This window comes from Homo sapiens, chromosome 18 (assembly GCF_000001405.40).
Source record: "Homo sapiens chromosome 18, GRCh38.p14 Primary Assembly".
Classification (NCBI taxonomy): Eukaryota; Metazoa; Chordata; class Mammalia; order Primates; family Hominidae; genus Homo; species Homo sapiens.
In genome coordinates, this window is record NC_000018.10 from 12,698,448 (window position 1) to 12,721,457 (window position 23,010).

The 23,010-nt window shown below is 43.4% G+C and overlaps 2 protein-coding genes across 10 annotated transcripts in view, besides 3 other annotated features; one reads left to right on the forward strand and one right to left on the reverse strand.

Moving 5' to 3' along the window:
- The window catches only part of CEP76 (centrosomal protein 76), a 40,822-nt gene extending 36,492 nt beyond the window's left edge, over positions 1-4,330 (reverse strand). For 5 of the 8 annotated variants that reach the window (XM_047437808.1, XM_005258149.6, XM_017025981.2 and 2 more), the window contains exons 1-4: positions 4,039-4,276; positions 2,511-2,666; positions 1,383-1,458; positions 532-756 (exon numbers count right to left, since the gene is read on the reverse strand). In XM_047437808.1, coding sequence (XP_047293764.1) covers positions 532-756; positions 1,383-1,458; positions 2,511-2,666; positions 4,039-4,101 — 520 coding nt within the window. In that variant the 5' untranslated portion in view covers positions 4,102-4,276. Of the gene's footprint in view, positions 1-531; positions 757-1,382; positions 1,459-2,510; positions 2,667-3,735 lie in introns of all 8 variants that reach the window. The other 3 variants (NR_073537.1, XM_017025982.2, NM_001271989.2) reach the window with 3 other exon arrangements.
- PSMG2 (proteasome assembly chaperone 2) overlaps positions 1-23,010 on the forward strand; it is a 67,003-nt gene that overhangs the window by 39,710 nt on the left and 4,283 nt on the right. Inside the window, exons 1-5 of one of the 2 annotated variants that reach the window (NM_020232.5) lie at positions 4,595-4,717; positions 8,103-8,274; positions 14,255-14,313; positions 20,070-20,188; positions 22,063-22,236. In NM_020232.5, the coding sequence (NP_064617.2) occupies positions 4,661-4,717; positions 8,103-8,274; positions 14,255-14,313; positions 20,070-20,188; positions 22,063-22,236 (581 nt within the window). In that variant the 5' untranslated portion in view covers positions 4,595-4,660. Of the gene's footprint in view, positions 1-4,594; positions 4,718-8,102; positions 8,275-14,254; positions 14,314-20,069; positions 20,189-22,062; positions 22,237-23,010 lie in introns of those variants that run through there. The other variant, NM_147163.2, reaches the window with a different exon arrangement.
- Positions 3,421-4,318: an enhancer, noted in NCBI's record as "H3K27ac hESC enhancer chr18:12701867-12702764 (GRCh37/hg19 assembly coordinates)". NCBI's record gives its function as "activates a minimal SCP1, AML or CMV promoter by ChIP-STARR-seq in naive H9 embryonic stem cells {active_cell/tissue: H9 hESC(naive)}" and the evidence as "EXISTENCE:reporter gene assay evidence [ECO:0000049][PMID:30033119]".
- Positions 3,604-3,903: an enhancer, noted in NCBI's record as "active region_13103". NCBI's record gives its function as "activates an Ori minimal core promoter by ATAC-STARR-seq in GM12878 lymphoblastoid cells {active_cell/tissue: GM12878}" and the evidence as "EXISTENCE:reporter gene assay evidence [ECO:0000049][PMID:35858748]".
- Positions 3,914-3,963: an enhancer, noted in NCBI's record as "active region_13104". NCBI's record gives its function as "activates an Ori minimal core promoter by ATAC-STARR-seq in GM12878 lymphoblastoid cells {active_cell/tissue: GM12878}" and the evidence as "EXISTENCE:reporter gene assay evidence [ECO:0000049][PMID:35858748]".

The window sequence follows — 23,010 nt, forward strand, 5'->3', positions numbered from 1 at the left end:
CATGAGCCACCACACCCAGCCTATTTTTTATTTTTTGTAGAGACAATGTCTCACTTTGCCCAGACTTGTCTTGAACTCCTGGCTTCAAATGATTCTCTCACCTAGACCTCCCAAAGTGTTGGGATTTCAGCTGTGAGTCACCGTGCTCAGCCTAAACTTCGACTTTTAAAAGTTACATAACATCATCAATCTGGTTATATTTTATAAATGAGAAGGACCATGTCTCATTTTCCACTATATCATCCCAGCACCTGCCTAGCATAACACTATGCACATAATAGGTATTTAAGTGTGTATTACTAAAGAATCAACAATGAAAACAGTCAAAAAATAATATCCAGGGAAAATGAATAGCAAACAGAATATTGCAAGAAGGTGGATAGTAGTTTAAATTGAAAAGAGCAGTGGGAAACAAAATAGAGATTCCTCCATTATAAATCTCTCCTTACAGAAAAAGTCATTATTATTGTTTCACAATAAAACATAACAAAGATTTACTCAATTAAATGACAATTTATTACTGTTTCTTACCCAAGCTTTCTCTGTGTACTTCAAGTAAAAAGCCATCATGAAAATCTGGTTCACAGGCACATGGAACAGGTTTAGAACGAAAACGTTGGTTTCGATAATGTAAACATAAAGTAAACGTTGAACAAACTTGTCCAGGTAAAGGCTCAGGTTCTTGCAGATGTTCCAAGAAAGCTTTTCCACCCAAAACCTGAAGGTAAAGATACCTCCGTGTTGGATCAATATTAGCTGTAAAGTGTAGCAATATATATGAGGAAACTGCCAAATAACTTAAAAGAATGTGATCAAGACATTAGGAAATAAAAACTTGACAGATAAAAACCCAATACCAAAGACTAAAAAAAAAGCAAAAGAGTAACAAATTTATTACTGTATATGCCAGAATCATTTGCACTCTGGGGAGAAGATACACAAAATATGATATTCTTTTCTGAGTTTACATCCAGGCTACTTTCTCCCAGCTGGAAAAGGCATCAGAGCCAATATGTAGTATACTTTTGCTTTTTAACTGCTTATCCAACATTCCTCCACCTTCACAAACCAACTCATATAATTATCAATTCAGCAAGTGTATTTGTCAATTATATTAATATTTAAAAGCAAGGCTGTACAGTTTTTATAAAACATATTATTAAAACACAAGAAACTGGTGATGCTGTTTTTGCTTCTACCGTGCTATACATTAACTCTTCTGATATACTTCATGCAAAACAATCTGTTTTAGCCAACCATAAAATTTTAAGTATTTTATTTTGGGGGGAAAAAATGGAAATGTCTTCTATCAAATACGAAAGACTACACCACATCAATATTTACTATTAACCACAACTAAATTAATGTTAAAATATACATACTTTTTTTTAATGTCGATTGTCTATCAAAACAAATAGGTTGTTTTGGAGAGGAAGGGAGTTCTTGCTCAACACTGTCCTAGAAAGGCAGGAAAAAAAAATCAAAACAAATTAGAAAACAATTATAGGTTAAGGAAATGTCAATAAACATGACTAAGCACTGAACCTAAAGTCAACAGGGTAAGGCCCTTTCAAAGAACCCCTTATTTTCCTAGCCTAATTAAAATAATGAAAATAAAAGCCTGCATAAAAGATGATGTAAACTGATCACTCCTAAAATCAAATGCTAAGGAATTAAACTGTCTTCAAGTAATACTATCCACATAAAGCTAAAAACAAATCCTTAATACCTTCAACAAGGTTAAACTTTCTGTAAACCTTATGTAACAGTTGGCTTATAATTCCACTATGAGCTGATTTTAATAAAGTGTCATCACAGAGTAGAAGCTGTTATTAGGTCAATTTTTATAACAAACGGGTTCATAAACTTCAAAAACCAAAAAAAGGTGCTGTATTAAAATACTTATTCCCTATTGTATTATGAAGTCCATCCAATTTTCACATTATATTACCCAGGTATTGAGGTCACAGTTTCCATTATTGCCTCACTTTCAAATGAAGGCCTACTTACTAATTGTGCACTGAGAGACTATCATCCCATTATTGACCTATTTGTATTAAAAGATTTGAGGACTCTTATGCAGTCAATTATTTTCTTAAAGAAATTTGTAATTTGTTAATCATAGAGAATATAATCCCAAAAGAGTGCTTATTTTAAAAATACGCTTAATCTAAAAAAGTTACAGATCATAATGAAAAAGAACTTTGTTATGGTGAACTAATTGGACTAAAGTATGTATATTCAAATTTACAGACCTAGAAAATAAGAGAAAATTCTGTCACTGTAGAGACAGGAATAAGATATCTAACACAAATTTCATTGATACACAAAACTATTCAGTATATTCAAGGGCAGAGCTAGCCTATACTTGAAACAAGGACACTAGTAAACAGAATGACCTTGAAGTGGTTTTACTAAAACGAAAGGCCCCACATCGGAACCTTATAAGTAGTGTTACGCATTAGTATATACATATATACTCTCATTTATTTCCCTAAAAGATTACTCACAGTAACAAAATTAAGTTCTTTCATCACATCGTCAATGATTCCTCGACGTCTAAGGGCTTTGATCAAATCTTCTGTTGATAAATGCTGTTGATCAGGTGCCAATTCTTCCCGTATAGTCTCAGCAAGGATTTCTCTTATTCTACCATGGACATCCATCTATGTAGAAAACTCATATTACAATTTATAACATCACAAAGCAGTCAAATACTGCTTCTGAAGTTTTAAGGTTCTCCAGCTAACAGTAAATGCACAATTGTTACCACAATTGAATGGGAACAAAGGTAAGCTTTTAAAGAATGAATCTTTTGAGTACAAATTCTAGAAATAGTCTCCACTGGTTATCTGGCACCTTTGTTACCATTTCTCCACAAACAACACTCAACCAAAAGGAATCTTCTGAGAGGGAGTATAGTATAATCAGAAGAACACGGACTGGGAGTAGGCAGATCAAAGTATGATCTTATTACTTTCATACTTTGATCTGCCTAATGATAAGGGAATCTTACCAGCTTTCAACTTAGTAGATGTGTAACCTCAAGCCAACTTATTTACCCTTTATAAATCTGTTTCGTCACCGATAAGAATGGAAAAACCTAGTGTAGTGCCCTCTCACGATAGTGTTGTGAGGATTAAAGATACTAGACAGCACAAAGCCTGGCACACAAGGGCACCATAAATGGTCGCTTTTATCACTTCAGCATCTTGCACTCAGTCGAGCGAGCGCTGCAGAAACTGGAGGTTCTTCTGGAGCTCCGAAATATTAACAAATTCCGTCATTACAAACCCTTTAGTAACTTCTCTTCCATGACTTATTTGAGAATTGCTGATTGAAGCTCCTGGTTCAACTTCGCTGATACCCACATGTTTCAGCGGTAAAGAAACCCTGATATCTGCCGGGCGCGGAGGCTCACGCCTGTAATCCCAGCACTTTAGGAGGCCGAGGCGGCCGGATCACGAAGTCAGGAGTTCGGGACCAGCCACACCAACATGGTGAAACCGTCTCTACTAAAAATACAAAAATTAGCCGAGCGTGGTGGCGCGCGCCTGTAATCCCAGCTACTCGGGAGGCTGAGGCGGAGAATCGCTTAAACCTGGGAGGCGGAGGTTGCAGTGAGCCGAGATCGTGCCACTGCACTCCAGCCTGGGCAACAGAGAGACTCCGTCTCAAGAAAGAAAAAAAACCTGATATCTTACAGCAGAATATAAACCTCCAAATACAACTTACACTCGATCCGACTTCCAGAAGTCGCTCGCTAAGCGCTTCATTCTCACGGCCGTCCTAAAACGCCAAGACCGCTCGTTCTATCGCCCCAGACTCTTGCTAGCACCTGCTCGGCTCGTTTTCTTTCTCGGAGACGAGGACGCTCTCCTGCCTCAAACTCAAAGCTCTGCCTACTCTGCGTTGCGCACCCCACAATCCTCGCTACAGTCCCGGCAAGCAGATGCCGCTGTCGGCCCGGGGCCGCCGGGCAGGAGGGAAAGGTTATGGGTCGGCCCGGCGGTCTCTCCCAGCACCCGCGACTCTCACCTTGCTCAGCTGCTGGTGGATGAGCTGCTTCAGCTCGGAGGCTTTCTCCGGAGGCAGCGACATGCTGGCAGCCGGCGTCTCCCCGCCGCTTCTCCCCGCCTCAGATGCCCTAACTGCGCGGCCCCGGCCGGGCCAGGGAGCGTTAGGAGCGACTGGAGCACAAAGCGCCGCAGCCGTTCGCCTAGCGCAGCTCCCGGGGGACGCAACGCCGCGTCAGGCCGGGGGCTGACCTGGAAATGAGGCCCCGGCGGCGGCGGCGCCAACTGTTTTCAAACAGTGGCGGACAAACAGGGCTTGGGGCTGGCCCGCACGCTGCCTGATCGTTTCCGCCCGCCGCTCCACCTCCCCGCGGGCCCCGCACCCCGAGACCTCAGCGCACCCCATCGCCTTGCTTGCCAGGGTCTCCGAAAGCGCTGCTGGCCCCTCTTCGCGGCCACCCGGCGGCCTCTTTCCGCCCTCTGAACCGGCAGTTAGCTGGACGGGCCTCAAGGGCCCGGCGCCCAGGGACTCAAAGGACCCTCCCGCGCCCCGCGAGGCTCCGGGGTCTCGGGCTTCCGCCTTCTTGCTGCCCTCGTTCTTGCCAGGGCCGCGGTTAGTCCCTGCTGGCCACCCCACTGCGACCATGTTCGTTCCCTGCGGGGAGTCGGCCCCCGACCTTGCCGGCTTCACCCTCCTAATGGTGAGTCTCCATTTGCGCTCGGGGCTGCCGCCTCCCGAGGCCCCTGCGGTGTCGCCACCCCGACGCGGGGTGTTTGGCGGTGCCTTGGGAGAAATAGGGCACTAGTTTCTATTTCATGTTTTCGGCCGGAAAAAACAGGGAGGTTGTAGCCGGAGGCAGCCGTCCAAACAGAACCTTTGTCGGCTGTAAAACCAAACGTAGTCAAGTCTACAATTTGTAGTCTCTGTTTCCTGTAAAACGTGATGTGTTCGTACGTTCTAGATACACTGTACTTATGTTTTGCAGGGCATCCTTCAGTTTTATCCTAGAAAGTCTTTCTACGACTAGTTTTAGAATTAGTCTTAAGCTAGCATATTATCGTTGTTAACCGGAGAACTACTGATAGGGCAATAAACATTAACTCTTGCCGGTAGTTAGCGCAGTTTTATCGCTCTTTATATTCATTCATTGTTTTAATAAAGTCTGTTATGTGCGAGTATTAGAATAAGACTAGGTGCGTGCCCTCAAAGAATTTACACTGTAGTTGGAAACATGTAATCTAAGAGCAATAAATGCTAGGCTAGAAGCTTGAAAGGGTATAGAAAGGTCCTGAGATAATTGGGAGGGGAGGGACAGATGGCTTGTTAAGAAAGGCTTTATAGAGAAAGTAGTATGCAAAAGATGGAGGGCCCGTGGGCTGGGAGTAGGGGAAAGTAGGCGTTTCAGAAAGATGGATGTCTAAAACAGAGTCAGTAAGCAGGGGGACTTGAAGACTGCCAAGAATTTGGAATGACACATTGAGAGAGAATAGGCTGTAGGCCCTGTGAACCCAGAAGGCACCATTGGAAAATGCACTGTTTGGAGTGGTATAAGGCTGGAGAGAGCTGGAAGTGTCATCCTTATTCATTACATATAAAACACACAGCCCCAGAGAAGAGTGTTTCAAAAAGGAGGGAGTGGCCATGTCAAAAGTAGCCCAGAGATGTGTAAGGTGAAGAAAGTGTATGTTTGGATTTAGCGACATGTTAATGATGGTCACCTGGACAAACAGTTACCAGTGAAGTGGTGAAGAGGAAAGCCATATTGGAGTGGGTTGAATGAATGATAGAAAACAAGTTAAAGATTTGGGTTGTATAATATATATTCAGTCATTAATTCAGAGACAGGCATGATGGCTCATGCCTGTAATCCCAGCACTTTAGAAGGCCGAGTACAGGAGGATCGCTTGAGCTCAGGAGTTCAAGACCAGCCTGGGCGACATAGTGATACCTCATCTCTACAAAAAAATAAATAAAAATTAGCCAGGTGTGGTTTCCTGCACCTGTATCTCAGCTACTCGGGAAGCTGAGGTGGGAGGATCACTTGAGCCCAGGAAGCAGAGGCTGCAGTGAGCTGAAATCGTGCCACTGCACTCCAGCCTGGGCGACAGAGTGAGACCCTGTCTCAAAAAACTTTTTTTTAATAAGAGATAAAGTTTCTGCTTATGTTTTCGTGGACGACTTGGAGAATTTTTGCTACATAGAGAAACAAGAAATGAGGTTGCAGTTAGAGGGCTATGTGGGGTCAAGGGAGAGCCTTTTAGAATGAAAGATATTAGAGCATGTTTACGTGCTGATGGGAATAATACAATATTGTGAGGAAAAGAAGGATGGTACAGAAGAGTTTAACCCAAGTAGCAAAATCGTTGAGAAGGGAATTGCAGGAGGTAACTAGGCAATTGGTAGGTGACAACAGTGAAAAGTGGGAGAACATGCTGAGGGAACACCCGAAGGACAGAAAACAAAAGGAGTTGTTGGAAGAATGCAAAGGAGGAGCTACATTAAAAGGATACTTGGGGGATAGCCTCAATAAAAATTAGGCATGTATTAGATGTAGTTGGTAAGGGAATGGGAAGAAGTTTAGGTAGATTGAATAATATTGAACTTTTTTTTTTTTTTGAGATGGAGTTTTGCTCTTTTTTGCCCAGTCTGGAGTGCAATGGCACGATCTTGGCTCACTGCAACCTCTGCCTCCTGGGTTCAAGTGATTCTCCTGCCTCTGCCTCCCGAGTAGCTGGGATTATAGGCATGCACCACCACGCCCAGCTAATTTTGTATTTTTGGTAGAGACAGGGTTTCACCATGTAGGCCAGGCTGGTCTCAAACTCCTAACCTCAGGTGATCCACCTGCCTCGGCCTCCCAAAGTGCTGGGATTACAGGCATGAGACACCATGCCCGGCGCCCTTTTCTAAAATACAAAATATGGGGAAAAATTTGGGCAAAAGTTTATAGTTTTGGACATGTGGAATGTGAGTTTCCTGTGACCTAACCATGTGGAGACGTCCATTAGGTTGTGGAGCTCCTACGTGTTCTGGGATGTAGGTAGGGATTTGGCAGCTTCATTATTTTAAGTCATGGGAAAAAGAGAGAGAGAGAGAGAGAGAGAGAGAGAGAGTGTGTGTGTGTGTGTGTGTGTGTGTGTTTAGTGTGAAAAGATCACTTCAACCTTTCGGAATGGGTAAAGAGGCACTAATAAAGCAAATGGTAAGCAGACCCAAGAGTGCTTCTGTTCATACCTCGAAGCCTTTACACTTGCTTTCCCACTGCCTGGAATGTTCTTTCCCAGATCTCTGTACGGCTGTCTCCTTTACCTTTTTCAGGTCTCTAGTCATTTGTCACCTAGGGTGAGTCTTTCCTCGAACACTCTACTTAAAATTGCAATCAACCATGTACACACATCCTCACACTCACTTTATTTTTCTCCGTAGCAATTACCACTGTATATTTTAGTGTTTGTTTTGTTTATTACAGGTAAACCACTCTCACTGGAATGGAAGTTCCATGAGGGCATGAACTTTTGTTGGTTTATTTTACTGCATTCCCAGTGCCTAGAGCAACAATTGACATATAGTAGGCATTCAATAAGTATTTGTTAAATAGTCTCAAAGGTGGAGGAGGCCCCAGCAGTTGTAGTTAATGAAAATCAATATCTAGCTATGATGTTATGATGCTTTCAGTACTAATATAACTATTGTATTCTGTCTAAACTTTTTGAAGTGCTGTGGGCCAGGCGTGTTGGCTCACGCCTGTAATCCCAGCACTTTGGGAGGCTGAGGCGGGTGGATCACCTGAGGTCGGTGGATCACCTGAGGTCAGGAGTTTGAGACCAGCCTGGCCAACATGGTGAAACTCCGTCTCTACTAAAAATACAAAAATTAGCTGGGTGTGGTGGTGCGCGCCTATAATCTCAGCTACTCAGGAGGCTGAGGCAGGAGAATTGCTTCAAGCCAGGAGGCAGAGGCTGCAGTGAGCCAAGATCACGCCACTGTACTCCAGCCTGGGAGACAGAGGCAGACTCTGTTTCAAAAAATAAAATAAAGTGCTGCTAATTTTGGTGACTTACTGAACATATCTTTTATAATTTCAGCCAGCAGTATCTGTTGGAAATGTTGGCCAGCTTGCAATGGATCTGATTATTTCTACACTGAATATGTCTAAGATTGGTTACTTCTATACCGATTGTCTTGTGCCAATGGTTGGAAACAATCCATATGCGACCACAGAAGGAAATTCAACAGAACTTAGCATAAATGCTGAAGGTATGTAAGACTTTACCTTGTATTTTTCCACTACAAAGTAGAGTTGTTTTAAATTAGAAATAGACTTTATTGATAATTGTTTTGTAGCAAATGTTTACTTAGTGCCAACTTTGTGTAGAGTTCACAACCCAATCACATTGTCCTATTCTTTTATGTCCTGGTTTTAGTTGTTGTTAGCCTCTTGTAAATGGCAAGTCTTACGAAGGTTGAGAATAAGATCATACTTGTATCTTTTTTTTTTTTATTATTTTTGAGACGGAGTCTCGCTCTCTTGCCCAGGCTGGAGTGCAGTGACGCGATCTCCGCTCACTGCAAGCTCCGCCTCCCGGGTTCACGCCATTCTCCTACCTCAGCCTCCCGAGTAGCTGGGACTACAGGTGCCTGCCACCGCACCTGGCTAATTTTTTGTATTTTTTTAGTAGAGACGGGGGTTTCACTGTGTTAGCCAGGATGGTCTCAATATTCTGACTTCGTGATCCAACCGCCTCAGCCTTCCAAAGTGCTGGGATTACAGGTGTGAGCCACCGTGCCCAGCCCATACTTGTATCTTTTCTAGAATTTTTAAATTTCCTTGTTTTTCAACATGGATTTTTTTCCTTCTATCCTCAGTTTTATCTCCTGTTCTTACTGGTATGTGTAACCATCACTAATAATATGGAAAGGCGAAAAGTAGATTGCGCTGGACTCAGTCTTGTAGGTTTAATATATGTTACGTCAACTAAGTCTTATCCTCGTAGTCATCTTCTTCCATTATAGGATCCATAATAATATGGTATAGATAAGGCTCAAAGAGATTGACTTGCCTGATGCCACTAATAGGTGTAGGCTTTTCCCATACTGTAAATCTTTGTAATTCCTCATTGGACTATCAGGCTTGATTAATCAGGGAACACTGGTTATAATGCAGCACAGCACCAGGTGAGTAAGAGAAGAGCTCCTGTTGATCATGAAGCATGGGAGCACCCAGTTACTACCTTTGATGGCTAACTGTTCTGGTGATCTTTCAGTCTTCTGTTTACCATTTTAAGGTCAAATCCAGAGGTGACAGAAGAGCATGAAAGGCCTTTGGTGAATTGAAAGACAAATGAAGAAGCATTTTGGTTTTTGTGTCTTACTAACCATATCATTGTTTTTAGCTTGCGATAGTGAAATGTACATTTGAGAAATGACCTTATTATTGAACTTCCTACAGGACAGATGGCTTTGTCAACGCAAGACTAAATTTGAGTTACTGCCTCAGAGGATAAAGGACTATAAATGGTTAAAACCAGAATTCATGACCGGGTGCGTTGGTGCACATCTGTAATCCCAACACTTTGAGAGGCTGAGGTAGGAGGAACGCTTGAGCTCAGGAGTTTGAGACCAGCCTGGGCAACAAAATGAGACCCCATCTTTACAAAAAGAAAAAGAAAAAAATTAGCCAACCTGTAGTCCCAACCTCTTAGGAGGCTAACTAACTTGGGAGGACTGTTTGAGCCTGGGAGGTTGTGGCTACAGTGAACCATGATGATGCCACTGCACTCCAGCCCGGGTGACAAAGTGAGACCCTGTCTTAAAAAACAAAAGCCCCTAGAATTTGTATACTTTCCACTAGTGATAACAGCTATCTTTTATTGAGTATTACTATGAGCTAAATGCCATGTACTTTTTTTTTTTTAATGAGATGGAGTTTTGCTCTTGTTGCCCGGGCTGGAGTGCAGTGGCGCGATCTCAGCTCACCGCAGCCTCCGCCTTCCAGTTTCAGGCAGTTCTCCTGCCTCAGCCTCCCGAGTAGCTGGGATTACAGGCATGTGCCACCACACCCAGCTAGTTTTGTATTTTTAGTAGAGACGGAGTTTCTCCATGTTGGTCAGGCTGGTCTTGAACTCCCAAAATCAGGTGATCTGCCTGTCTTGGCCTCCTAAAGTGCTGGGATTACAGGCACAAGCCGCTGCGCCCAGCGGCGTTTACATGTAATTCATTTAATCTTTACAACGTTCTTTTTTTTTTTTTTTTTTTTTTGAGACAGAGTTTTGTTCTTGTTGCCCAGGCTGGAGTGCAATGGCACAATCTCGGCTCACTGCCACCTCTGCCTCCCGGGTTCAAGCGATTCTCCTGCCTCAGCCTCCCGAGTAGCTGGGATTACAGGTGCCCACCACCACACCCGACTACTTTTTGTTTTTGTGTTTTTAGTAAAGATGGGGTTTCGCCATGTTGGCCAGGCTGGTCTCAAACTCCTGATCTCAGATGATCCGCCTGCCTCGTCCTCCCAAAGTGCTGGGATTACAGGTGTGAGGAGCAACTGCGCCCGGCCCCCGTAAACTTTATTTTATTTTATTTTATTTATTTATTTTGGGTGTTTTTTGAGACAGTCTCGCCCTGTTGCCCAGGCTGGAGTGCAGTGGCACGATCTCGGCCCATTGCAACCTCTGCCTCCCGGGTTCAAGCGATTCTCCTGCCTCAGCCTCCTGAGTAGCTAGGATTACAGGCACATGCCACCACGCCCGGCTGATTTTTTGTATTTTTAGTAGAGACGGGGTTGCACCATGTTAGCCAGGATGGTCTCAATCTCCTGACCTCGTGATCTGCCTGCCTCAGCCTCCAAAGTGCTGGGATTACAGGCGTGAGCCACCGCGCCCGATTTGAGATGGAGTCTCACTCCGTCACACAGGCTGGAGTGTGGTGGCGGGATCTCGGCTCACTGCAACCTCTGCCTCCTGGGTTCAAGAGATGCTCCTGCCTCAGCCTCCCAAGAAGCTGGGATTGTAGGCACTCACCACACACCCAGCTAATTCTTGTATTTTTTTTTTTTTTTGACAGAGAGTTTTGCTCTTGTTGCCCAGGCTGTAGTGCAATGCCACGATTTTGGTTCACTGCAACCTCCACCTCCCGGGTTCAAGCAATTCTCTTGCCTCAGCCTCTGGAGTAGTTGGGATTACAGGTCCACGCCCCCACGCCCAGCTAATATTTTGTATTTTTAGTAGAGATGAGGTTTCACCATGCAAGTCAGGCTGGTGTTGAACTCCTGACCTCAGGTGATCCAACCACCTTGGCCTTCCAGAGTGCTGGGATTACAGGCGTGAGCCACCACGCCTGGCCTAATTTTTGTATTTTTAGTAGAGACAGGGTTTCACCATGTTGGCCAGGTGGGTCTTGAACTCCTGACCTCAGGCAGTTCACCCGCCTCAGCCTCCCAAAGTGCCGGAATTACAGGTATGAGCCACCACGCCCAGCCCTCATAAACTTTTTTTTTTTTTTTTGAGATGGAGTCTTGCTCTGTCGCCCAGTCTGGAGTGCGGTGGCACGATCTCGGCTCACTGCAAGCTCTGCCTCCCGGGTTCACGCCATTCTTCCGCCTCAGCCTCCCAAGTAGCTGGGACTACAGACACCCGCCATCACGCCCGGCTACTTTTTTTGTATTTTTAGTAAGACGGGGTTTCACTGTGTTAGCCAGGATGGTCTCCATCTGCTGACCTCATGATCTGCCCGCCTCAGCTTCCCAAAGTGCTGGGATTACAGGTGTGAGCCACCACGCCCGCCCCTTTTAAAGCATCTGTGATTTCACCATTTATCTACCCAAGCTTCACCATAAATTTGATGTTCTTGCTTCAGTTTAAGCAGAATTCATGTTGCTGTGATAGGGGCACTTAATGCCTTATCCTTCTTAGTGCCTCAAACCAGATCCTTTTCAGGCGTGTTACAGCAAGTCAGTACAAGTTTATTTTGGTGCAAAATGTTTTCGTAAGTACACATTTCCTGTGAACTTTTTGAAGACCCCTCATATATCCGATTGTTGTGCTGTGCCCTTGAAATCTCTTTTACTCTAGAGCAGTCCCTTTTTTTTCATCACAAACCGATTTATTGAAGAAAAGACTAGGTGTATTGTTTTGTACAATGTCCCACCTTCTGATTTGTCTGATTACGTCCTCTTGTCACTTGGCTTGTTGTTCTAGCCCCTGTGTTTTCTGTAACTGGAGTTAGCTCTAAAGGCTTGATTAGATAAAAGGTTAATGTTTTGGGGCAGAATACAGAAAAGGTGTTGTTGCTTTCGTAATGTATCACATCAGAAGAAAAAAGTACTAGGAAACAGGAACCTAACAACAAAAAGAATTGCATAGGCCGGGCACGGTGGCCCATGCTAGTAATCCTAGCGCTTTGGGAGGCCAAGACGGGTGGATTGCCTGAGCTCAGGAGTTCGAGACCAGCCTGGGTAACATGATGAAACTCTGTCTCTACTAAAATACAAAAAATTAACCCGTTGTGACGGTGTGCATCTGAAATCCCAGCTACTCAGGAGGCTGAGACAGGAGAATCGCTTGAACCCAGGAGGTAGAGGTTGCAGTGACCCGAGATCACACCATTGTACTCCAGTCTGGGTGATAGAGCAAGACTCTGTCTTAAAAAACAAACAAAAAACAAAAATTAGCCAGGCGTGGTGGTGTGCTCCTGTAATCCCAGCTACTTGAGAGGCTGACACACAAGAATCACTTGAACCTGGGAGGCAGAAGTTGGAGTGAGCCGATATCGCACCACTGCACTTCAGCCTGGGTGACAGAGCGAGACTCTGTCTCAAAAAAAAAGAATTGTATGATACGCTGATGAGGAGAGTATTGCTATCACCGAAGAAGTGGTAGCTTACATTTTAAAAAGCTTAGCCTGTCCACCCCCTACAGATACATTCTTTTCAAACCTAGGTCAGTTGAATTGGACTACATGTGTTTGTCACAGATAGGTTAGAGGCTGAGTAATCTTTGCCTTAGTCTCTTTTCCCTAAATTTATACCCTTTTCCCTAATTCCTAAACTTCCTTTGGACTGAACATACCTGGTGCTTGCTAGATTTGCTGAGTTCAGCATACCCCCCAGTCACACCACATCACGCCAGCCATAGGAGACAATTTCCGAAAGACCTGTAACAGTAGAGACCTGATCCACCAAAGGATTTGCTGTTATTTGCAATCTGTTTATGGTAACCAACACTTACCCCTTAGCACAGTAGTAATCCTGTGTCCTTAGAGAGTATTTTATCCCTGACTCAGGAGCTTCTCATTCTTTTTTTTTTTTTTTTTTTTTGAGATGGAGTCTTGTTCTGTTGCCCAAGCTGGAGTGCAGTGGCGCGATCTCTGCTCACTGCAAGCTCCGCCCCCCGGGTTCACGCCGTTCTCCTGCCTCAGCCTCCTGAGTAGCTAGGACTACAGGTGCCCGCCGCCAAGCCTGGCTAATTTTTTTATTTTTTAGTAGAGACGGGGTTTCATTCACCATGTTAGCTAGGATGATCTTGATCTCCTGACCTTGTGATCCACCTGCCTCAGCCTCCCAAGGTGCTGGGATTACAGGCGTGAGCCACCATGCCCAGCTGCTTCTCATTCTTAGAAATGAAGTTGGGCAGGGAAGCCTTAAGCATTTCTAGAGTGTGCCCCTTGTAGAACCTGATGAAAGCTATGGATCCTTTTCCCAGTAAAAAATACAAACACATTGACTCACATGACATTTTATGTTATTTCAGATCCTTTAAAAAGTTCTAAGGAACACACATGTACCTATTTCAGGATTTTATTACATGGCTAACATTCTCCTACCTTTTACTGTTTTTTCTGTTAATCCCAATGAGTGTTGCTGTTCTCTGGAGACAAAGAGGGGAGAATATCAAAAGCCAAAAAGTTCAGTTTTCTTAAGGATGATTTTATTTGTCATAATACCAGAAATTTTCAGGGGAATACTTCTCTGGTTTTGCAGTTAAAGTCAAAAGAAAAATAATTTTTTATATTTTCTTACAGTTAACTTTTCAGAAATGAATCTGTTCCATAGAATAAAGCCCACTGGCTTATTTTAAGGTACTTCTAAAAGGTCTTATTTTAACCAGATGTCATATATGTTCCGTATTTTAATTATTGAAAACATTTAAATGCAAAAGGTATTATAATTCAATTTTTGTTTATCATAATAATTTCAACTTGTATAACTTCACTGTCATATGATTTCATTTTCTTCTTGTTTTTATAGTGTATTCATTGCCTTCAAGAAAGCTGGTGGCTCTACAGTTAAGATCCATTTTTATTAAGGTTAGTATGTTGTAGTTTGCCTTTTTGTTTATTAAAGTGTAATGAGAAAATAAGTAACATTAGGGATTAAGATTCAAAAATTACTACTGTTTTTACCATATGTACAGTTAAGATCTGATTCTACAGAGAAATAATCTTACAATATTTCAGATGTGTTACTGTCTTTTCATGATTATATAGAAAGGAAGCAGGGCTTTTATCTTGAGTGTTAACATATTTTCAGTTCGGGTAGCATTGGTGAAAAAATGTAAGCATATTAATATTAGAGGTTTATTCCATTTGTATTACCTTTCAGCTGGTGGCATCTACATATAAACTATGTATATATCAAATTATGTATATGTCATAAAATATTCTGAATCCGACTTCTTTCCTCCTCCACTGCTGTCATTGAGTGCAAACCAGTGTCATCTTCATGCCCCTGACTAACTTGCTGATCTGCCTCCCACAAACAGCAGCACTGATGATCCTCTAAACGTACACCACATCACTACTCTCTTTGAAACCCTCCAGTGGCTTCTCCTCTCACTCAAAATTGTGATCCAGGAAAAGGGGCTCGCTTCCTGATGCACTGTGACACCAGGTTTTTGAGACAAGAAAGGCTTTATATTGCAAATTGACTCCCAAGGAGACAGGAGTCGACCTCAAATCTGCCTCCCTGTGCTGACTTCAAGGCAGTGTTTTTATTAGAAAAGGTTCAGAGGGTGGATTCTGAGATCAGTAGGTGAGCGATGGAAGGAAAGGGGACATCTGGAAGGTCCTTGGGCATGCACAGTTATCTCCTCATGCTAACTCATAGGGCTCATGTGCCAATTCAGGGGAATGAGTATGAAACGTGATGGAGAGTCAGCTTGCGACACCAGGAAGCTTGTTCTCTGCAGACTCTACTTGGCCATATTGGTTCCAACCAATTTCAGCCAGTTCTTTTATCCCATAAGGGGAGGAAGTTTCAGTATTTTACCAAGTAGTTTCTTATCTGCTACCCTGCAAACTCAATAATTTCTTTCTTTTTTTTTTTTTGAGACAGTCTCCTCTGATGCCCAGGCTTAAGTGCACTGATGTGATCTCAACTCACTGCAGCCTCTGCCGTCCTGGGTTCAAGTGATCCTCCTGCCTCAGCCTCTGGGATTACAGGGACACGCCACCACACTGGCTAATTTTTGTATTTTTAGTAGAGACGGGGTTTTGCCATGTTGGCCAGGCTGGTCTCCAACTCCTGCCCTCAAGTGATCCACCCACCTTGGCCTTTCAAATGCTGGGATTACAGGTGTAAGCCACGCCCAGTCCAAACTCAAGAATTTGTTAGTCATTGGTTTCTTTAACTCTTTGAGGATGGTTTCAAATTCACAGCCCTTACTGTGGCCTATGAGGCTGTATATCTGTGCTAATACAGTAGCCACTAGCTACATGTAACTATTTACAGTTTAATTCATAAATTTAAAATTCAGTTCCTCACGTTCCAAGTTCGCAGGAGCCCCATATGCAAAAAGCCAGCATAACAAGAGTCATGCTCACAGGAGCTCTGCCAGACTGCTGCTTTGCAGAGCCTAACCTGCAGCCACACTGGCTTCCCTGTGTTGTTAGACATTAAGCTCATCCTGTCTCAGTCTTTCCACTAGCTTCTCTGCCGAAATTCATTTTCTTAGAGACTCCAATGGTTTGCCTCCTTTACTGTTTTCTTAAATGTTTCTTCATGAGAAAGGCCCTCCTAAACAATCCTTTCTTCCTTTTTTTTTTTTTTTTCCTTGAAACAGGGTCTCTCTTGCTCTGTCACCCAGGCTGGAATGCAGTGGCGTGATCTTGGCTCACTGCAACCTCTGCCTCCCAGGCTCAAGCCATTCTCCAACCTCACCCTCCCGAGTAGCTGGGATTACAGGCATGCACCACCACACCCGGCTAATTTTTGTATTTTTTTGTAGAGGTGGGGTTTCGCCATGTTGCCCAGGCTGGTCTTGAACTCCTGAGCTCAAGCAGTTCATGCTTCAGCTTCCCCAAAGTGCAATGGCGTGATCTCAGCTCACTGCAACCTCCGCCTCCTGGGTTCAAGTGATTCTCCTGCCTCAGCCTCGCAAGCAGCTGGATTACGAACGTGTGCCATTGTGCCCGGCTAAGTTTTGTATTTTTAGTAAAGATGGGGTTTCACCATGTTGGCCAGGCTGGTCTCAAACTCCTGACCTCAGGTGATCCACCCACTCCACCCACCTCAGCCTCCCAAAGTGCTGGGATTACAGGCATGAGCCACTGTGCCCGGCCCTCTTTTTTTTTGAGGCAGAGTTTTACTCTTGTCACCCAGGCTGGAGTTCAGTGGTGCAATCTCAGCTCACTGCAACCTCTGCCTGCTGGGTTCAAGCGATTCTCCTGCCTCAGCCTCCTGAGTAGCTGGGATTACAGGTGCCCGCCACCACACCTGGCTAATTTTTGTATTTTTAGTAGAGATGGGGTTTCACCATGTTGGCCAGGCTGGTCTCAAACTCTTGACCTCAGGTGATCTGCCCGCCTCAACCTCCCAAAGTAGTGGGATTACAGGTGTGAGCCACCACACCCAGCCGAAAGTAAGCTTCTGAAAGGAATGATGAAGTGTCATTTACTTTTATATCCCCAGCTCATAAGATAGTGTCATGCACATAGAGAAGCTCTCAGTAAATATTTGCTAAGGGATTTTTTGGAATGACCTGAGGTATCATCTTTTCAGGAGGTTAGAAATACAGGATTTTAGTGACATGGTTAACTGCATAGTACTTTTTATTTTAACTTTTCTTTTTGAGATGGAGTCTTGCTCTTGTCGCCCAGGCTGGAGTGCAGTGGCGTGATCTCAGGTCACTGCAACCTCCGTCTCCTGGGTTCAAGCAATTCTCTTGTCTCAGCCTCCTGAGTAACTGGGATTACAGGTGCCCGCCACCACGCCTGGCTACTTTTTGTACTTTTAGTAGAGTTGGGGTTTTGCCATGTTGGCTAGGCTGGTCTCACACTCCTGACCTTAGGTGATCTGCCCACCACAGCCTCCCAAAGTGCTGGGATTACAGGCGTGAGCCACTGTGCTCAGCCATTATTTTAACTTTTTATCGAAGTATGACGTACATGAGAAAAGTGCACAAATCATAAATATACAGCTTGGTGAATTTTCATGCAGTAAACCCTCTGTGAAACCAGCTTTCAGATCAAGACATAGAGCATTGTCAGCATTCCAGAGGACCCCATAATGCGTCCTAGTCAGTATTCTATTGGTGGAATTCTGTGGTATATACTTACAGCATCTAGCTTCCTTTCTTAACATTCCCTTTGCGGGGTTCACCCATGTTGTTGGAAGTAGCCATAGTTCATTCGTTCTCATTTCTCTGTGGTGTTAAGTTGTATACATAAGCCATAATTTTTCCATGGTACTTTTGATGCTACATTTGATTATTTCCAGTTTGAGACTATCATGAATAGTGCTGCTAAGATTATTTTTAATTCTTATACTAGAATCACTGCTTTCTTTAGTTAACATTATATACCCAAAGTTTTGCAGTTAGAGTTGGTAACATTTTTACATTGTGCCACATGGCTTTTTGTTCTCTTTCTAATCAGTGTAAGTTGAAAAATTATTTAACGTATAATATAAATTTTTGGCAGCTGGAAGTAAAGAGTGAATTTTTTTTTTTTTTTTTTTTTGAGACGGAGTCTCGCCCTGTTGCGCAGGCTGGACCGCAGTGGCATGATCTCGGCTCACTGCAAGCTCCACCTCCTGGGTTCACGCCACTCTCCTGCCTCAGCCTCCCGAGTAGCTGGGACTACAGGCGCCCACCATCACGCCCGGCTAATTTTTTTGTATTTTTAGTAGAGACGGGGTTTCACCGTGTTAGCCAGGATGGTCTCGATCTCCTGACCTTGTGATCTGCCCGCCTCAGCCTCCCAAAGTGCTGGGATTACAGGCGTGAGCCACCGTGCCTGGCCACAAGACTAATTTCAAAATAGCAAACATTTATTGAGCATTGATTCTTTGTGCTGATACTGTTCTAAGTACCTTATATTTATTACTTAATCCTCATGACAAACCTATAAGACAGATACTAATATTATCCTTATTTTTCAAAGGAAACACTGAAGTACAGAAAGATTAAGCAATTGCCTGACACATGATCTTAGGGAGGCAGGACCAGCACTCTAACCCAGGCAGCCTGGCTCCAGAGCTTGCCTTTTTTCTTTTACTTTTTTTTTTTTTTTTTTTTTTGAGACAGGGTGTCACTCCACCCAGGCTGGAGTGCAGTGGCACAACTATGGCTCACTACAGCCCTGACCTCCGAGGCTCAAATGATCCTCCCACCTCAGCCTCCTGAGTACCTGGGGCTACAGACGTGCACTACCATGTGTAATAATTTTTTTTTTTTTTGTAGTAACAGGGTCTCACTATATTGCCTAGGCTGGGCTTTAACTCCTGGGCTCAAGTAGTCTGCCCACCACGGCCTCCCAAAGTGTTGGGATTACAGGAGTGAGCCACCTTGCCTGTCCCAGAGCCTGCCTCTCTTAACTGCTGCACTAGACTACCTTCTTATTTTAAAAGTTAGCCTGCATTTCTCTTACCTGCATTTTAAATTTTATTGAGTAGTTATTTTATGAGCAGTCTTTGAAAAATTTTCATAAAGCGGGCTCCCCCTGAAATTTTATAACCCACATTCCAGATTTACCAGCTGTGAATGTCTTGCCACACCTACTTGATCTCTCGCTATGCGCGTACACAGTTTCCTTCTTCGAAACAATCCAGAAGTAGGCTAGCAATGGTCACCCCTACATACTTCCGCACACATCTTTCAAGAACAGGACACCATTACCACACCCAAGAAAACCAGCATTTAATGAATTTATTCAGGAGTATCATCCAACATACTCAAATTTCCACAGCTGTTCCGAAAGTATCCTTCAATTCTGGATCCATTGATGGTTCACAGGTTGTATTTGGCTGTTACATCTTTTTAGTTGTTATCCTTCAGAGTAAAACTGGCCTGCCCCTCTTTCTTTCTTTACAATATTGACTCCTTTGAGGAACCGGGGCTGGATGTGGAGCATTCTCCATTCATCTGATTGTTTCCATGTGACCAGATTCGGGTCACAAATTTCTGGCAAGAACCCTTCACAGATGACCATGTATTGGTTATTAGGTAACAATAGATTACTCAAGTAGAGAACTGGGAAATTGTCCTTTGTCCATCACAATAGATTTTTTTTGAAATCTAGATTCCTCATGATTCATTGATTTCTTTTCTTTTTCTTTTTTCTTTTTTTTTTTTTTTTGAGAAAGTTTCACTCGGTTCCCCCGGCTGGAGTGCAATGGCACAATCTCGGTTCACTGCAGCCTTCACCTCCTGGGTTCAAGTGATTCTCCTGTCTCAGCCTCCTGAGTAGCTGGGATTATAGGTGCCTGCCACCATGCCCCGCTGATTTTTTTATTTTTAGTAGAGATGGGGTTTTACCATGTTGGCCAGGCTGGTCTTGAACTCTTGACCTCAGGTGATCCGCCTGCCTCCCAAAGTGCTGGGACTACAGGCGTGAGCCACCATGCATGGCCATTGATTTCTTAATTATAAAGATACATTAGATAATTCATTGCTCTTTATCATTCACTTTCGGTTTAAGCACAGTAAGTGGATCTGAAAATAATTTCAGTATATATAAATTATATATCATTATCACATAAAGTTGATGAAATAGTATATAGAATGTTTGTATGCTCTAAGACTAACTTTTAGATTTTCTTTTTATTCTCTCAATGGTGTGCAAAGTATAAATCAAAGCCATTCTGTGAAAAACTGCTTTCCTGGGTGAAAAGCAGTGGCTGTGCCAGAGTCATTGTTCTTTCAAGCAGTCATTCATATCAGCGTAATGATCTGCAGCTTCGTAGGTATGTTTCTGCCTCTGGAAAGTTATTTTTGGTATGGTTTATACTATGATAATTTCTCTATTAAAAAGTTAAACTTTAAAAGCCACGTAGATCCTTACCTCTTCTTACTGGAGTTTAGAAAGAGGGGGGTAAGAGAAGGTCAGGAGATGGGAGGGAGTACAGTTAGGCAGATCTTTTCAGTTCCTGTGAGCTTAGTAGAGTTGGGGCATGGGGAAGACATCGTGTAGAGAGAGAGAGTTTGGGAACCATGTTTTTAGTGTTTCCCGTCACATACATGGCAACATCACAGAGCTCAGCTAATTGAAGAGAATAAGCAGAAAAGGTACTCAAGATTTATAAAGTTGCTAACTTTTGAAAGGTTAATATTTTCAGTTATTTCCATATGTTACCTTGAAAGATTAATATTTTCAGTTATTTCCATATATGCTACCATTTTTTAAAAAACATTTACTTTTTGTAGAGACAGGGTCTAGCTATGTTGCCCAGGCTGGTCTCGAATTCCCAGGCTCAAGCAGTCTGCCTGCCTCAGCCTCCCAAAGTATTGGGATTGCATGTGTGAGCCCCCCGCACCTGGCCACATGCAACCATTCGTATTTGCAGAAATCCACTTGCCTAAAGGGTAGCTCCCTGGCATGTCAGAGTGAGTTCTTAAATGTAAGACAGAGTATCCCAGAAATAGAACTATAAGCTATCATTACCACATAAAGTTGATAACATATCATATAGAATACTCTTATACTCTAAGATGTAGCTTTTATTTATTTATTTTTGAGACGGAGTCTTGCCCTGTCACCCAGGCTGGAGTGCAGTGGCATGGTCTCAGCTCACTGCAACCTCCACCTCCTGGATTCAAGCGATTCTCCTGCCTCAGCCTCCTGAGTAGCTGGGATTACAGGTACCTGCCGCCACGCCAGACTAATTTTTGTAATTTTAGTGGAGGCTGGGCTTCACTGTGTTGGCCAGGCTGGTCTCAAATTTCTGACCTCAGGTAATTCGCCTGCTGGGTCTCCCAAAATGCTGGGATTACAGGCATGAGTCACTGTGCCCGTCCCCAGGATGTAGCTTTTTTTTTTTTTCCTCTTTTTTTTTTTGAGACGGAGTCTTTCTCAGTTGCCCAGTTCTCAGTTGCCCAGGCTGGAGTGCAGTGGCGCAATCTCGAGTCACTGCAACCTCTGCCTCCTGGGTTCAAGCGGTTCTCCTGCCTCAGCCTCCCGAGTACTTGGGACTACAGGCGCATGCCACCACACCCGGCTAATTTTTTGTGTTTTTAGTAGAGACAGGATATTGGCCAGGCTGGTCTCGAACTCCTGACCTCAGGTGATTTGCCTGCCTGGGCCTCCCAAAGTGCTGGGATTACAGGCATGAGCCACCACGCCCGGCCCCAAGATGTAGCATTTAGATCATTTATTTTTTATTTTTTATTCTTTTGGGGATGGAGTCTCACTCTGTCACCCAGGCTGGAGTGCAGTGGCACAGTCTTGGCTCACTGTAACTGTTTTAGATGATGTAGATCATAACTTTTATCACTTAGACACCTATAAAACCAGGATGAAAAAATACCAACAAGCCAAGAGTTACCTTTCAAAATGAGCTAATTTCCAGGACTTTCACAAAAGACATTACAGGCTTCATGGCAGAAGGGAGGAAAGCTGTGGGAAATTTTTGCAATGGGCTTGCCTAAGTGTTTCTGTCTTTTTATATTGTCTCCTAAGTAAGTAAGTAAGTAGCAAATCAGAGCAATATTTTTTACTTAAGTCTGCTGAAACTTGTGTTTTGCCTGTGCAGCAGAATATATGGAGACCAAGAGAATTTTAGCTAAAGAACCGATGTTTGCTTTAGAGTTTTTAAAAAGTTAACTATATGATTATTTCTAGTACTCCCTTCCGGTACCTACTTACACCTTCCATGCAAAAAAGTGTTCAAAATAAAATAAAGAGCCTTAACTGGGAAGAAATGGAAAAAAGCCGGTGCATTCCTGAAATAGATGATTCCGAGTTTTGTATCCGCATTCCGGGAGGAGGTATCACAAAAACACTCTATGATGAAAGGTGAGTTTGTTTGCCTGTTCATTTGTTTCCCACTTTACTTAAAAATGAAATTAATGCAGTGAGCTGAGATCGTGCCACTGCACTCTAGCCTGGGTGACAGAGCAAGACTCTGTCTCAAACAAAAAACAACAACAAAAAAAACAAAATTAAGTCAGAGAATGTATTGGATTACTTACTGAAACTTTGAGAATATATTGCTAGGCCGGGCACGGTGGCTCACACTTGTAATCCTAGCGCTTTGGAAGGCCGAGGCAGGCGGATCACGAGGTCAGATCAATCAAGACCAGGAGATCGAGACCATCCTGGCTAATATGGTAAAAACCTGTATCTACTAAAAATACAAAAAATTAGCTGGGCGTGATGGTGGGCACCTGTAGTCCCAGCTACTCGGGAGGCCGAGGCAGGAGAATGGTGTGAACCCGAGAGGCGGAGTTTGCAGTGAGCCGAGATCGCGCCACTGCACTCCAGCCTGGGAGACAGCAAGACTCCGTCTCAAAAAGAAAAAAAGAAAATATATTTACAAAACTGGTACTATTGTAGAGCTCTTGCATTTAGGGGAAAGATTTAAACTTGGTTATAGAAGAACTGGTTTCTCAAAAGCCATATTTAATGCTTTTATTTTGTGTGACTTTTTAGGGATTCTAATACTTATTCTTTGCAACCTCTACACGCGCACTTTTTTTTAATTGTGGTAAAATATACATCGTGCAAAATTTACATTTATCACACATTTTAACTATATTTAAGCGTACAATCAAGTGCCATTAATTCACA